General features: G+C 32.7%; 1 protein-coding gene across 9 annotated transcripts in view; it reads right to left on the bottom strand.

Annotated features, from left to right (window-relative positions):
- Positions 243-17,467, bottom strand: part of KIFAP3 (kinesin associated protein 3) — a 163,856-nt gene continuing 146,631 nt past the window's right edge. For 5 of the 9 annotated variants that reach the window (XM_024454186.2, NM_001204516.2, NM_014970.4 and 2 more), the window contains one exon: positions 243-695. In XM_024454186.2, the coding sequence (XP_024309954.1) occupies positions 590-695 (106 nt within the window). In that variant the 3' untranslated portion in view covers positions 243-589. Of the gene's footprint in view, positions 696-1,979; positions 2,017-4,694; positions 4,770-17,467 lie in introns of those variants that run through there. The other 4 variants (XM_047449531.1, XM_047449532.1, NM_001375830.1 and 1 more) reach the window with 3 other exon arrangements.

A 17,467-nucleotide genomic window follows, 5' to 3' on the forward strand; every position in this document is an offset into this window, starting at 1 on the left:
ATGTTCCATTATTAATTGAAAACTCATAGTTAATAAACTTTGGGAAGGAAACTTTCAGGCACATGGCATGGAATATGAAGGTGATGTTCTTTTTATAAATTTTAAAGGTAGCATATATTATACAAATTACTCAAGAGTTTACAAGCAGAAAAAAAGGAGAAAAAATAAAATTCACGCGCACCCTATATTAACATGTAATTCGTAGTGAAATGTGTGAAATATAAACACATGACTTTCACTTATTCATTTTCACTTTACGCTTTTTAATTGAAATTAAATTAGTCACTTAACATACATAATGCAGTGTTTGTTTTCCAGTCTAGTAGCTTTTCAGCATTCAGTTTTGTGGCTCATGGGAAATGTTACTTAGCATCAAGATGTGGTTTGATGAGTGAACAATGTCAGTATCAACTGTACTTAACAGAAGACAGAGGGGCTGGGGTTAATCTGCAGCTAACAACATATAAAAATAAAAACAAACACAGACCCACAATAACATCAACATGCATTATTAGGCAAAGATCCAAAATTAACCCAACCCACACAGATTTCTTCTAAGCTGAGATTACACATGGAAACAGATACTTTATCAAGATCCATAGCCATAGTAGTAAGGTTCATCAGGGCGGAATCCATATGCTGTGGCAGGGCGTCCAAGAATGCCAACTGGTTGGCCAAAGCCATCCATTCCAAGGCTAAAAAAGAAAAAAAAGAATGATAAGCTATGTTTTTCATCACACATCCACAATGCAGATTAAGAGGCCTACATTTTTATACCACCAAGATTCTCTTCCTAGCAGGGATAGTGATTTAGGTGGATATCATTAACTTTTTTTTTTAAGGTTAATAGAGCCATTAAAAGTGTATATAATAAAATACTTCTAACAATGTGTGTTAAAAGTATGGGAAACCTCTGTCAGTAGGTACTATTTGAAACAAAGTGGAAGAATCAAATCAGAAAAGTTTTATTTAATAAATTACTTATATATGGCTCTTAAGCAAAAATATGAAAAGATTTTACATGCTAGCAATGATCAGTAATATATTGCTAGGGAATGATAAAAATAAAACTGTAGTAAAGTGAGTTTTGCTGTTTATAATGTCTTTTCATATGAAGATACAGGACTAATTCCACTTTTAGTAAAAACATGTGTTTGAGTTATATCAGTGAACTCTCATGCAGGGCCAAATCATACCATAAGCCTATGATTAAAAGAACAAGATAAGGAATTTGACAAAATTTGAAAATTAGTCAGATTTGATCTGCAAATCCTTCCTCTGATTCCTCAATGCAAACAATTACAAAACATATCTATTTCTTTTGAGTGACAGCAAGACAATTACAAATTTTGGTTCAACTTATTCTATGGGAATAACAGAAACCCAAAGATAACCTTCAGAGTTGTAAAGATAGCTTGAAGTATGTTAAACTTCATGATTATTATTTTAAAAAAATTACTTGTTGGTCTATTAATACATTATTTAGAGGAAAATCTGTTCTCCAAAGTCCTTTTTAAAGGTCAGGGAATTATCCAACACTTAGGAAAATGATAAAGTATTTATTTTGCCAGGCAGAACATGGTGGCCTTAACATGCTCATGCATAGCTCATGCAGTGAATGCTAGTGAGCTTGACTTCCAATCAATGGACACCATTTGTAATGCAGAAATGTAAGCTTTGGAAAAATAAAACATATTTAAATGATTTAAGATTTAAGTTTGCACTACATGAGATGGAAAGATAATTTTCCCTCAATAGCAAAAACTGAATGTGATGAAAAAATATATTCACATAGGCACTAACTCCCTGTCACACTCAGAGTGAGATTAAGTTGACACACTTTAGAAGTAACTATTAAAATGTTAAGGTTTTAAATAAATGTGTGAATGCGTGTGTGTGTTTGTGTGCACGCGTGCTTGTGTGTATTAAGATGGAACTAAAGAGTAAATGTAAAGAGCCAAAATACATATAACACATACTGGTCCAGTGACTCTGCCCTTTAGGAGAATGGAAGTTCTGAAATACAAGTTTCAGGTTAGCATTTGTACTGAGCGATTCTGGACAAAATTTGTTGTTTTGGGGTCCTTCTATATAAAAACTCTGTCTATAGTTTCTCAAAGTTGGTTGAAATTTTTAAGTCTACATTTTATTTTGAAATGGTAAAAATATAGGCACTTTTTCTAACTTTGATCTCATGGGAAGAGAGACTAAATTTTGTGATGAGGAAATCAAGAGGTAGCTTAAAAGATGCTTCAGAAATTAGTGGAATCAGTGAACTAAGAGACACTGGTATCAGCTTAAAATTAGAGAAGTTATTGAAAACTGTTCTCTGCAAGCACTAAGGCTAACAAGTAATCATGTATCTAAAGAACTCTCAATTATATAACTGTTGATTACATAGCTTGGATTTCAACTTGTTCCTTCTTCATCTTTTGCTTATTACCTGTCTTCAACCAGTCCTTATCTTTTTTAGCAACTCCTCTGAGGCCAAATAGCAGTAGACTTAGGTTAAACTCAAGTTAATCTTATGCTTGTTTCTCAATCTAGGGGCTATGGCAAGATCTATTTCAGTAATATGAAAACAAGAGGCATATGTGGGACAGTGAGGAAACATGCAAAGGCACCTTCAGAGTATCTCACAGACGACTTGTTAGCAATATCACTGTAATTCTACCTAAAAGAAGATGGTCCTCAGAAGGGAGTTCACCAGTCATTGGCACAGAACAAGGAGCGTCTCAGCTACAACGCTGGTTGTAGCAACCTAGGCAATTGCGTGGTGATCTGGTAAGCTATAACACCATAAGGAATATCTGGCCTTTTTGCAGTTTGGTCCTCAATCAGGAAGGGAATTTAACATTCTCAGAGTCTGAGGCCATTCTACATTCAAGTTGCAAAATTCTCCCCCTTTTTTTTATTTCTACGACTAATAGGCAAACTATTGATCACTGTAATTTCCCATGTAATTTGCCAACAGGTTAAATAATAAACTTAGATATTACCTAATCCACCTGATGGTTATAACTTTCATTGTACATTAACAAATGGATTTTTCTTTTTAAAATATGTCATGCACATTGTTGATAAAAACCTGCAGTCCCAAGTCAGTGAAAGACTGGCCCTTGAGCACTGATGAGTCTGAGTTTCTGAACCTGTAAATCTCTGGTCTTGAACAGTATGGTCTTTAGGTTACTATGGTAAAGATCTATTTATGTAGTCAGCAGTTCACCCAGAGACATCTGTGTGTATTACAGTGTAGAGGATATCATTTAATTTTTCGAATTTCTATATACAAATATCGTTTTGGAAAAAAGGAATAAAATTTGAAACCAAACTCTAAAATGATCTTTTCTGGAATTCTCCATTATGTATCACAGATGAACTTGCTGTTTAAAGCAAAAAATATTTAAAACATTTATGATCAGTTTGGAGAGTACTTTGACATAGGTCCTAGGTCCTTTTGTATTATGAAAAATCAACTATATCTACATACATTTTTAATTAAATTCACTGTGAAACATAACAGTTTGTTTCTTTAAACTCTCATTTGCTTCTTTCTAATATAGTGGGGGAAATCAGGCTTTCTAGGATGCTAAAACCTGGAGACATTCTTTTGGAATATGTAGACACTTTACTTTTTTCCTTGGGAAAAGGATACAGCCTTGCTAATGCTGAGTTTAGTTCAAAACCCGGAGAGTTTTCCTTTAAACAGAAGCAGATAGATTCTTCATGTAAGTTCTTGAAAGAGATAGAAACTATGAATATAAAAAGGCAACGTTGCAGGAAAAATTGTGCTTTCCTGATCTGGAAAGACTTGACTTCAATAGTGTGTATCACAGGAATTTGTATGCCCTCACTAGGGGCCCTGAGAAGCAAGGAAAAGTAAGCTGTGACATGCCACATCTGCTCTTGCCTTGTGTGGCCATTTTGCTTCAGATAATAGTTTGAATATGTGGCTATTTATAAGTATACTGGAATTCAATCCAATCTTGTAGGGTGCATGTCTCTGTATGTACATAGTTTCTTCTTGCTACTCCTAACCCACATAAAATGTGGTGTATCCCTCTAGACTAGTATATGCAACTATTATAGTACTTTTTCTTTATAGGATTACTTATTTAGTGCCATTTCACCTTTTTCCTTCGTATTCAGATAACATATTTTGGACCTTTGAATCACCAAAATAGTGTCTCTTCCTGAAAATACATAATTCTGGTCCAAAGAAAATGGTTATTGTTTATTGTGAAAAGATAACTAGGAATGATAAGGCCAAAAAGTCAATCTGCCATTAAGTTTTATCTCCCAAGAACAATTATTTCTGGGTACCTAGAAAGAAAAATGACAAATTCTTTAAAAGAGAAAAATTATATTTAAAACCCAACAACAAATAGAAAACCATATCTAGAGTGTGTTTTTTTAAATAAACAAATTTAGAAATCTAATTAGCATTCAGCAAGCAGAAGACTGAATTTTTGCTAATATTTGCAAGACTTCAAACACATTTGTAATAGCAATCATTAGAATTCTAAACTTGATATGATTCAGAGCAGGAACAAAGAAATCTGGAAATGACAAGTGATGCTTCACATGCAGCACATTACAAGGGAATGGCAGCCAGTAAAGAATCTCAGGCACTCACAGGCTCTTATTAAATTTCTGGGCCAGAGTTGACATTCCTGTAGAAAGAGAAGAAAACCACCTACCTCTGGCTGTTTGTGAGGCTTAATTAGTGCGTATTTGTAAAGCACTTTGAAATCCTTGGATGAAAAGTGCTGCATAAGTGAAAAGTATCATTATTTTATTAAAACGAGATAAAAGCAACACAAGCCTTTTTCTTCTTTTAAATTCCTAGGTCAGCAATATCAATGTAGAGCAAGTAATGAATTTATTAATAAATGGCTACAAAAAGAATAAATGCAGGCCAAATTATTTTTTCAAAGGCTCATGGAAGTCTTTGACTTGGGAACATTTTAAGAAATAATATTGGCTACACTTTTATTCACAACATCCTTGACAGGGTCTATCCAGCTCTCTTCTGAACACCTCCAGAAGGAAGTGCTCACTACTTTGTCAAGGCAGTTCATTCCATTTATGGATATGTAAAACTGTTGGAAAGTTCTTTATTACACAGCTCTAAAATCCAGTTCAACTAGTCTTAGAATTACCCTCTGAAACCACACAAGGAGTCCAATTCTTCTTTGATATGACTGCTTCACAACCCTTGTTTATTCAAGCCTCATTACATGGTCTCTAATCTTTACCATCTCAGTTGCTCTCTAAAACCACTTCCATTTTCTAGTGTTTGTCTTCAAATGAAGAAGCTAAAATTAACGTGATACTTATGATGTGATCTGAAACCAGTACAGAATAAAAGATCCTATATCTGACTTTACACTATTGTAGGCTAAAACTGTATTAATCTTAAACAAAAATTTTAAGAAGACATTATCACAAAGTTGCCTAATATTGACTGCTTATAATTGACTGTGTATATATGTGTATATATATATAACATTGAGTTATATATAGTTATATAATATTGAGTTATAGTTACATGTAACATTAAGTTTTTTCTGTATATATGTACAGTTGTGTGTGTACACACACACACACACACACACATTCAAAATTTTACTTATAACTACCATGCTAAATTTCATCTTTTTAGTCTGAGTCTGTCTTTAGGAATTCTATTCTTCCCAAGACAAAATCATTTATGACTACATATTTATAAATAGGCAGCAGTGATTTTTCTTAACAAACCAGTCTTTGTGATCCATCAGGTAATATTGAAGGCTGGAATTCTTTTGGAATTGTCAAGTGAAAGAATTTAACATGAGCTGTTATAGGAAGAAACTTTCCAGGATATTATAAAACTGTATGAAATTACTTCTTCATAATTTTTTGGAATAGTTCATTCTTTTTATCAATTTCTCTAATATATTGATTATAGAATCAAAATCAGTATGTTTATCTTTCTAAGTAGATTGTTAATTGATCATCAGGGTAATTTCAGCTTAAGTATGATTTGTCATGGGAAATTTAGGTCTATTGTAATAGTGACTCTATATACCATTTGCCCATCCATCCACCTATCCAAATAGTAGAAACATTTATTGAGTTCCTACAATGTGGTTAAGTATAGTTTTTGAAGCCAAGGAAAAAACATGGTGCTGGGAAGGCAATAACAAATACGACATAGTCCTTGACTATAAGGATTGGAGGCACCTAACATGGAAGAAATATTCTGATAATAACCTGATGTCATCCTACTGTAGCATATGTATAAATTGCTACAGAAGAAAAGAGGGGGGATAAATATTTAATATAAGAGTATATTAGAGACATGTACAAATTGCTACAGGACAATCTTGGCAGCTAGAAAGTCTTCATACAAAATACTTTGATTTTAATGCATCTGTTACCTCCTGACATATTTTGTTATTGTATTTCTTTCCCATTAGAAAATAAACACCATGGAGGGCAAGGAGTGTTTTGGCCATTGCTATATCCCTAGGCTCTAGTATTGTATCTGACATGGAGTGGGCATTCAAAAATTACATGAATTCATGAATGAATTAGTCTTAAAAGTCAAGTAAGATCTCACAGGCAAAGAGAGACAGAATTCCTGATGGTGGAGCAGCCTGAGCAACAGAGAGGAGTGGCTGACGAAGAGCAAATGGTTTGTTATGGTTAAAGTTTTAGATTTATGATATAAGCAAATGGCAGGAGATAAGGCTAGAAAGGGAGGTTAGGACTAGATATTGAAGCTTTTCATAAACCTGCTAAGAACTGGTGGCTACTGGAGAGTTGTCAATGGTTGCTAAGAAAGAGAATGACCAAATTCTATGTTTTAGGAAGATAATTGTAGTAGGAAAGGGGGTTGAGAGGCAAAATCATGAACACTGAAGAACCTATTACAGCTGTCCAAATGTGAAGTAATGAGAACCTACAGAGGGGTACTGGCAGAAATAACAATGATCAAATATGCTACAATTCACAACAATGTTATCTTTTCTCTTTTTTTTTTCTTTGAGATGGAGTCTTGCTCTGTTGCCCAGGCTGGAGTGCAGTGGCGTGATCTTGGCTCACTGCAACCTCTGCCACCCAGGTTCAAGCAATTCTCCTGCCTCAGCCTCCAAATTAGCTGGGATTACAGGTGTGTGCCACCACACCCAGCTAATTTTTGTATATTTAGTAGAGACTGGGTTTCAGCATCTTGGCCAGGCTGGTCTTGAACTCCTGACCTCATGATCCACCCATTTTGGCCTCCCAAAGTGCTGGGATTACAGGCGTGAGCCACTGTGCCCGGACCATCTTTTCTCTTTTAAAATAGTTTTTTTAGGCCAGATGCTGTTGCTTATGCCTAAAATCCCAGCACTTTGGGAGGCTGAGGTAGGCGGGTTGCCTGAGCCCAGGAGTTCAAGACATGGCAAAACCTCATTTCTACAAAAATACAGAAAATTATGCAGGCATGGTGGTGCACACCCATGGTCCCAGCTACTCATGGGTTTGAAGCAGGAGGATCACTTGAGCCCAGGAGGTTGAGGCTGCAGTGAGCCATGACCGCCACTGCACTCCAGCCTGGGCAACAGAGTGAGTGAGACCCTGTCTCCAAAAAAAAAAAAAAAAAAAAAATTAAAGTTATACCTTTACGAGTTGGGGACTGAGACTAAAGGAGAAGAATTTGAAAACTGGCTGGAAATTTTAAAGGTTATATTTCATTGGAATGGAGCAAATTTTGCCCCCTTAGTATGGGGATATGCTTCATCAAATAACTGAGATGCTGTGGTATTCCATGGAGATGAAATCAGATTGTAGAAGAAGCTTGCCCCTATCTTCTACAGGGCTGAACTGTTCTTGGAAAAGAGAATATTTTCTCCTTGAAATTCTTACAATAAGAAGAGATGTGCAGGTTGAACGAAATAACGAGTATAAAACAATACCTAACACTAGTAAAATGATGTACTACTACATCGAGATCTAAATGTTTGTCATTTATAGACCAACCACTAGATGGAGAGCTTGTCTTACCACTGAGTATCAGGTACTTCTACAAAATTTCAAAGCAAGGATTATTAAATTTAAACTTCTCAGCACATTTAACATTCATAGAATGTGGCATCCATTGCTGTCGCAGATAATTAATGTCCAGTTTTATGATTATGAAATAATTTACAGCTAAATAGAAATACCTATCAGTTACATGCAAAAAAAGTTTTGTGAATGTTGGGTGCCTAAGAAAATAGATCATAAGAAAAGAGGTTATAAGAAAAGATGCTAATTGTCTTGAACACTGAAAAATGTAACATGCATGCATGTTAAAGTGCTATTACTATAACATAGCTTCTAAAATTTTTCATTGAACCAATATTAATGGCATCTTGTTTCTATAAATCTATATGTAATAAATATATATTTTAAGTTGCTCAAAGGTATTACTCATTTCTTTGGACTTGAACTTTTGTATTGTTGAGAAAATAAAATCCAAGAGCATGGTTAAGCAGTCTTCTAATGAGTTTCACCAGCATATATCAAGTTTAGTTGTCATTTCCCATTTAGTTTTATTCTTAATCTTTTATATGCATAATTATAAATTTTCCTTTTATTACAATAAAACTAAATGGCTACAGCATCTTAAAGAATCTTATTCTTAATGAATTCAAACTAGTATTTTTTTTCAAAAATCAAGGGCAAATTATATGAGTAGTGGGAGGCTGTATTTAAAATACTCATCTGGAGTTTATTAAAAACATTTTTTGAAGGACATCTGTCAGTTCTAAGGGTGAAAAACAGCACCTTGGGGAAAAATCCTTTCAATTTAGTTACTACACTGAGATACTTCAGATAAAAACTAATTTGTACTAATGATGAAGGGAACGTGTGTAAAATAGTTGCACTGATTTATTCTAAATGGTAAAGAAATTCCATTTCATTGACTCTCCTCTAATTTCATTCAAGTTATACTTTTCTTATACATCTCAATCTGTTGATTAACCTGCCTCCAGAGTAATATTTTAGTGATTATATTTTAATGTGGAGATGTTATACTTGGTACTTTTTGATACTATATCATTGCATTAAGTTTTCTATTCCTTTTTATTAATTTACTTTTTTATTACATTTTATATAGTCTAATTGAGATTCTTCTATTAACTCTAATTCTTGGGCATCCTAACACTCTTGCTGTTAGAGCGCTTGTCGTGTACTGTCATGTACTTTACAAAGCTTTAAAACAAGGCTTATCAAATTTAAACTCCATGGCATATTGAACATTGATAAAATGGGATTTCCATTACATTCTGATGATTCTCTTTCATGATGGTCCTTTTTATGTTTTCATTGAGATGGCTGTCCTAAAACAATCTAAATGGCAATTTCTTGACTAAGGTTCCCTGAATTAAGTATACGGTGTAAATTCTGAACCCACTCATGTGCATGAAACAAGCTTGTGACTTCTCTTTCACATGGGTGACTATCTTCCCCTACCTAGGGTCTTTGAGCACAGACAGGTTTTGGCCACTTCTCTGGGCTGGTGAATTAACATCATTTAGTCCTCTTTTCAACTGATGAGAAAAAATTGAAATTCCAGGCTTTATTTAGAGAATTCAGTTCCATCTTCCTTTACCAAATAACTCGTACCTAGTTCAATATTCCGGTTGGTGTTTTTTTGTCATTGGGGTATTCCCTATCTTTCTTATGAACTTAGTCATATAAATTTCTGTTACATTTTTGTCCACCATTTACATATTATCTGCATAGGAGTGGTCCCTTCCAAATTAGCTCAGTCTATCATCTTGCTGGAAGTCCTTTTCATTTTATTATTACTTCTTTTTTTTTTTTTTTTTTTTTTGAGGTGGAGTTTCACTCTTCTTGCCCAGGCTAGAGCGCAATGGTGCAATCCTGGCTCACTGCAACCTCCACCTCCTGGGTTCAAGTGACTCTCCTGCCTTAGCCTCCCAAGTAGCTGGGATTACAGGCCCGTGCCACAATGCCTGGCTAATTTTTGTATTTTTAGTAGAGATGGGGTTTTGCCACGTTGTCCAGGCTAGTCTCGAACTCCTGAACTCAGGTGATCCGCCTGCCTCAGCCTCCCAAAATGCTGAGATTACAGGCGTAAGCCACCGTGTCTGACCCATTTTATTATTATTTATCTGCATATTCAAGGAAAAAAATATAAATTTTAGATTCCTCTGGCTCATAATAGGCTTTCTTGAAGAGAAAAATGACGTGCAAGAAATAACTGGAGCCATTAAAATATATTTTATTTTTCCTTATTTGTAGTTATTAACAGAAAAAATGCTCTAATAGGTACCTAATGGAAGTTGTCAGATGTGATTATCAAGTTGAAATGAATATTTACTCAAACCTATAAAGGTCTTTGGCTTTTTCTGGCAATATTTTAATGAAGGTATGCCATCTAGTCATCTTTAACTTACATTTCTTCCATTAAGCACAAGGACTTCTTGAAATTGGCAGTTCTATACTATCAAGCAATGCTTCATTTCATACCACCAAATGTTAAGGGAACTTGCTGAGCGGCTTAAATAACCCCTAGGTCAATAAACTGAGTCATTAGCACGTCCTTTAAATAATTGTTTGTCTGTTACTGGTTCAACATTTATATAATCTGTCATAATACCTTGGTTTTTTAAGGTACAAAAATTACTGCTATAGGTTTAAACTAGAGAATATCATGTAAGTAGCAATGTTTTTTCAGCGACAGTTTAACTATACTGTCTGGTACTGAGTGAGTTAAAGCCTGAACACCACAACTAATTACTATGTAATGCTAACCTTAGTTGCTGGTTCATTTTGAGACTCTTTAAAATATGAACTGTGTATTTTACCCCTATGCACTCTCTTAATGATTTGTTTTTTTAGACTGAAATCACTTCCAGCCATCAGTTATACTTTTGGTCTCTACATATGCACTTCTCCAAGCACAAATATTTCTTTTTCCTATTGGTCTGCCAGCCCTGTCAGAGCAAATTTCACTTTAAACTAAATGCTATGATACTTAAAACCTCTTGGATTACTCAGGCTGCTAGTGTGATCTGTAACCTTCCAAGAATGACAGCTAAACTTTCCAATTTGCTTATACTGTTTGGGGAACTAGAAAGCACATGCCAAAAGGAAAATGTTTCTGATGTTGAACAGAGAGGAAAGTTCTTGTTGGAGGTGGGGGCAAGAGACTATTAAGTACTGAAAAATACTAATAAGAAATGAAAATAAACTAAACATGCTGTAAAGTCTAAGACCTTAAACATAATTCAAAAGTTAATACTAGTACTAAAAACTCTGGCTAAACTGGTTAAAATATGAAAAATAACCTTTAGTTACTGTAGTTTAAGTGCCAACCAGAATCTTAAAGTGATAATGCACTATTGAAATGAACAAATTCAAAAAATGGAATATAAAATTATCACAAGTGCTACACAAAATGGGCTATATCAACTCCCCATCTTTCTTTATAAAACAGACAAGTCTGACATATGAACAAAAATCAAAGAGTTAATACAGCCATCTAACATGCATGCTACCCCCACGGACATAATACTAGTCTCTCTTATATGAATAAAAAACACTACTGACATAACACCAGACTTTTTTTTTTTTTTAATTAATGTTAAGTTTTTTTTTTTGTTAAAACTCATGTCTCCAAAGTCCTTAAACAAATCATTCAGTTTGGGAACATTTTGGAATAGTTTAGAAACTTTTCACTTTAAGGAAGCAGACAAATGTTTGTCTTAAAAAAATCCTGAAAATCTTATCAAATGTAAGATGCTTAATATAAAATCTCCTATTTATTTCATAATCTACTTATTCATTTGTGTCAATATTTTTTAGTCTAAAATAATAGTCAAATTACATTTGGATGATAAAAATCGAGCAATGACTGATAAAGATGTTTCTGGAAAGCTAAATCAAACTAACCTTTTTGCAAAATTGAGGGCAAACATATAGATAATAGAAATTATATTTAAACACATTAAAAGTGCATCTTTTTAAACAGCTAAGCATGATAACTTAAAAAATTTGATTCTAAACTTATAAATGCAAATATATACACACACATAAAGGCATTTCCTTGCTTTGTATGGATATTTCAAAAGATTTATAGTGGGCAGTATTATTTGATGTTTTGCAGCCATTAGTTCAGTAATTTCAGTAATAAATACAGGTCAGAAAAATATTTCACAGTTATTTAATGTCCTCTAGAACATTTAGGATCTCAGAATACTGTATAATATACCAGAAATGTATTAGAAGAACAGGAATTAAAGTAAATCTCTACTATTATAAGCTTTCTTGGTCCTTAAGACTATATTTAACTGTTACATTATGGGTTTCTTTTTTAAAAAAGGTAAATTCATTTTCTGCTCAGGTATAAGACTATAGATTATAAGATTACATGTCTTTTGATGATGAAGCATGGTATTTCTATATCATCTTCAAAGAATAGGGCTAAGCATCCTTTGGTCACACTTTGCATTGACATAAACAAATTCAGTGTAGACTGGAATGTAGAAATATATGACAATTGTTTATCTGACTTGTAAGAGTCATATTTTAAGTTAAAATTATTCTTAAATCAGCCTAAGGAAACACTATCTTTTTTCTTCTTTGTCACTCATGTACATCAGCATTTCCCCTCTTAATTTAAGGACTAGCAATTAAGTTTATGAAATTCACCCAAACTAACTTAAGTACAAACTATGAACTTATCAATAACTCCTAAATTTTCTTAAAGTTAGTAGGGTGCAATTACTTCAAAACTAGAATATCTGAATGGGATTTGTGTCTCTACTGATGTAACTTTTTTCAGTCTATATCTGTAACTAACTTTGACATGACTTCTTTCTTTGTAAAATAAGAATAATGGCTATATCTTTTAATATCTCTATGCCTTGAGATTATTGTATTTCCAAGAAAAGTACCCGCATATAGTATGTATTTGGTGGTGTTATTGTTATGACATATGAAAATGATGAATACTTCCCTAGAAATGCTTAGGAAATTCTGGCTTCTGCCTAATGATCTAGACAGTTAAGGGATACTCTATCATACTTGGCATGCTTCATACACATGCTTTCTGTTTTGCCTTTATAGGGCTCCTACATAATTCATAGAGATTTATGCCTCCACATAAACATACTAATTGTTGTTGCACTAAAATAATGCCGTGGCCAATCGTTCTTTCCTTTTACCGTAGTGAGACTGAACTGTTTGTATAAATAAGGTTATTCAATCAAAACCCTTTAGATTTTATGTCATGATTGATGAAAATAACAACACCTTTAGGGATGAAACTTACTGACAGATTCTAGTTACATGCTTTTTCATCTTATTTGATACTCAGTGAGTTTATTTTCAAAGTAGTAAATCAAGGGTAAGGTTTTTAGTTATCTCATGCAAATCATCACTTCCCACATTGTACGCATTCCTATACTCAGGTTTACTGCCAGTGTTGGCTTCTCTTAGAAAAGTGCACACAGGTCATGAAAACGTTTAGGGTGGAGTATTTTCATTCTGCGATGTGTGTTGTCTTTGGGTTTGTGCCAACCTGACAATCTGGCACTTATAAGCAAAGCTGGGCAACTATGAGAATTCTTTAAGGAGATGGAATGCACCATACATTTTTGAGATTATCTGGGTTTTAGACAGTATTCTGAATGAACATATAGGTATATCTATATTTGTTATTTCAAGTATGCAGGAACAGGGACAAATTGATTCAATTTAAAATAACTATGGTATCTACTTGCTGATGGCAAACAGTATCTCCCTTCCCCAGAGTTTGTTGGGGGATAAGGTAACATGCAACTGCATAAAATTGTAATAGTTTCTTTTTCCCCATAGTGTATAAAAAGAATGAGGTAAATTATAATAGCCTAATATATATGAAGGCTTTGAAAACATTTTTAAAAATACTTTAAAAAATATTTGAATGCTTTTTAAAAATACTTTTTTGAGATTTTTTACAACTCTTAAAATGCTTTTTAAAAATACTTATTAATGCATTTTACAATGTTTTATAAAAATATTTTTTGACTTTTAAGAGCTCTTGCATATTTATCACCTCAAAAAATATCTCAGCATGAAGTTTGGGCACCTATATCAATATAGCTTTATAGGTTTTTTTGTATAAATTTGAAAAGATGTAAATTTTAAGCTACAGTTGCATTTTAAAAATTTACTTGCCTAACTATGTTCATAGAAGCCTCCTCCCATCCTTTCATATTTGAGGGGCTCTAAATTAGCCACTTGATACTGTCTACACAAATCTGGATTCCTTTTTAAGATCGCTTTGCCTTTTAGTTTCTGACAGCCCAGTAGGAAGGTGCTGTTTTTGGCTGGAAAACCCTGAAAAAGCAGGGTGTATCAACTTTAGATATAGTTTCTTCTAAAGCTAAACAAAGAAAACAGGCTTAATATATATAAGATACATTGTATTTCATAAAATATAATGTTGACTTATGTTCATAAAAAGAGAACATATTCAGGAAATTATGTTCCTGTTTAAGTGTATTCAAAAGACTATTTAAAATCTTTAGCTTATTCAAAGGGTGCAAGACAGCATTTGTTAATTCTGCCTTTCTACTCTAAAATGAGACCATAGAAATATGTAGCTTTTACTTAAGAATCAAGATAAATACACACAGATTTTACATATACCCATAATTAACTTTAATATTAGAAAAATGATTAGAAAATTACTAATAATTACGTTTAAATACAAAACAAAGCAGTATTTGAAAATAAATTATATGACAGAGTCCCATACTTGTCTCTTTGGAGCAGGTCTGAGTTCTATCTAATTCATGGAGGAACTGAGCAGTTAGATTACCAACTAATTTGGGCTAATATTGGAAGATTGTGTGTTAGCCTAAAATTCCTACAGGTAAATTCTATAAGATTATAGCTCATAATTAATCCTTTAACTCCAGACATCGCCTCCATTTTCAAATGACCACTTTTTAAAAATTAGAAAACCTGATGCATTTTAACAAATCCTTTATAATTTAAAACTCTTCCAATGAAAAGTGTTAAAAATTCATCAATAGCTATGATGTCAGTGTTAAAAGAAGTTCAAAGCCTAAAATGTTTTGTCTCTTGTTCCCTTGGAACATTTTACATTTCTATGTAAAATGAAAAGTCAGTTTTAACTCAGTAAAACTTTCACCCATGAGATGGGAGTCATAGAAAATCAACATTTATATAAAGCTCCTTGATAAAATGGTTCTCCCCAAACCTGTAATTATTCAAATTACATTTTTTAGGACTCTGATGTGTTTCTAAAGAGGCAATATCTCTATTACAAAGACACAAAAAGCTGCTGTTTCGACTAATCCTTCCAAACTACTTATTGTTTTAAAGAAGTAATTAAACACTAGTGAATTGTCAGACCATCAAAGTACGATGTTTTATGAAATAGCATATATAATTTAAAAAGTTGTATTTCAAAAATAATGTGGTTCTTTGTCAAATATTGTACTGCTTAGCTTAGAGTGCTATAAAATCTGAACCTACTTACTTTTTTTCTAAGAAAATTCACATTCTCTAAATTTTGTGTGTGTGTATAAGAAGATACTAAAGGTCTGTGTTTTTGTACTAGAAGTAAGTCAATGAATGACACACTCCACATAGCATGCTCTTTACAAAAAATGAGGGGGAGTATTATTTAAGATAATGTGGCATTCTTTTCTAAATATCATTAATTCTGTTTCCTCTTAAAATTAAGGAGAATTCAGAAATGTTTAAGATGTTTATTCTGCTGGAAATATTTCCAATAGACAAATATTATTTATTCTATTTACACTAGAATAAACATCTTAAACATCTGAGTTCTCCTTAATTTTTAGAGGAATATATATTATATATATATATATTACTCAACATATTGGAGTAACATAAAAGTGGGCAGAAACAGGTAAAAGACCATTGATGTCCAGATACTGACAATGTAGTATTACTTTTATAAGCCTGATAATACTATTACCCTTAAATATTTTCAAAACAGAAAGCTGAAAGAATAATAAAGAGAATGCTTTAACTCATCTCAAAAAATTATATTTTTAACCCTGAACTATATAAGCCTCTTAAAGAGAATGAGATTATTTCTTACCGACCTCCATATCCCTAGACCTCATCCAAGTGCTTGTCAACTAAAAAGGTTATGAATAAAGGAAATTTTAAGTGTTAAAAGCAAACATTAAATGATTCTATATTTTATCCTATATTTTGTGCTTTATAAAGTTAATTTCACCTGTCATCACAGAAACTTTAAGTAAAATTATAAGTATCTTTTGGAAAGAGCAGCAATAACAACATAAAAATCCCAACAGTATATATGCTATTTTTATCATTTATTGACTACTAACAGACCATTAGTTATAACCTGGTAATAGGAAAGAAACATGAACAAGGAAACTCTATTCATTTTAAGTATGGAGTAGTATTTGTTGCTACAGAACTTAAGCTATTGGACTATGAAAACTAATACAGATTTTTAAAATATTCTGATTATCCTCTAAAGATACTCTAAAAATACAACCAACTAAAGATATAACTTTAAGATACAAGTCTAAAGATACAACTTTAAGATCCTCCAAAGATACAACCAACTTTAAGATCCTCTAAAGTCATAACCATCTTCTAAAGTTACACCATCCTCTAAAGATACAGCAGTAAAAATTCTTAATACAAATACTCCCTGATGTTTAAACATGGAGCCATTCCTCCAGGTGCAACACAAAATTTACAACAAATCAGCAATGAAATTGACTATAACTGAAATTATGTGACTTCCAAGCATGTTTTCTACTGATCTTTCTCCATGAAAAATATAACTCCAAGAAAATAATTATTTTGCAATTCTAGTCAGTTGGTTATTGCTATTATTAATGAGATATTGAATACTAATCATATTATTTCTTCCTCTGTTATGGTGAACCTATAATGTTTCTTTAGGCTAGATTAAAGTAGATGGACTAGAAATATGATTTTACACACTTGTAATATTGGGACATTATAAGAGTTGCTTTTGAAAATAAAATAAAATTTTTCTATGATAGAGACTGTGCTTAGATGGGTGTTTCTCAGTATATTTAATTAGACTTGTAGTAGTATAATACAAGTACACTACGAATCCCTTAACTGGATCTTAATTATGAAGGCAAGCATCTTCATCTATGTAAAATATAGCTACTTAAGGTCTGTTTTTATCTTACCTAGGTTATTAAAAAATTTTCCCATATAGCATAGGCTCCTATCAACAATTTTATAATACAAAGCATATGATACTATAAGCAGGATATATAATACACATCTATTTGATTATATATTTAATAGATGGTATGCATTGTACATTTGAAAGGATACTGAAATAGTAAAAATTAAAATTAAGAAATTATAAAAAAGTTCACATTGAAAATGAAACAGCATGGGAAATGGAGTAAGACATCTA

This window comes from Homo sapiens, chromosome 1 (assembly GCF_000001405.40).
Source record: "Homo sapiens chromosome 1, GRCh38.p14 Primary Assembly".
In the NCBI taxonomy this organism is placed as follows: domain Eukaryota; kingdom Metazoa; phylum Chordata; class Mammalia; order Primates; family Hominidae; genus Homo; species Homo sapiens.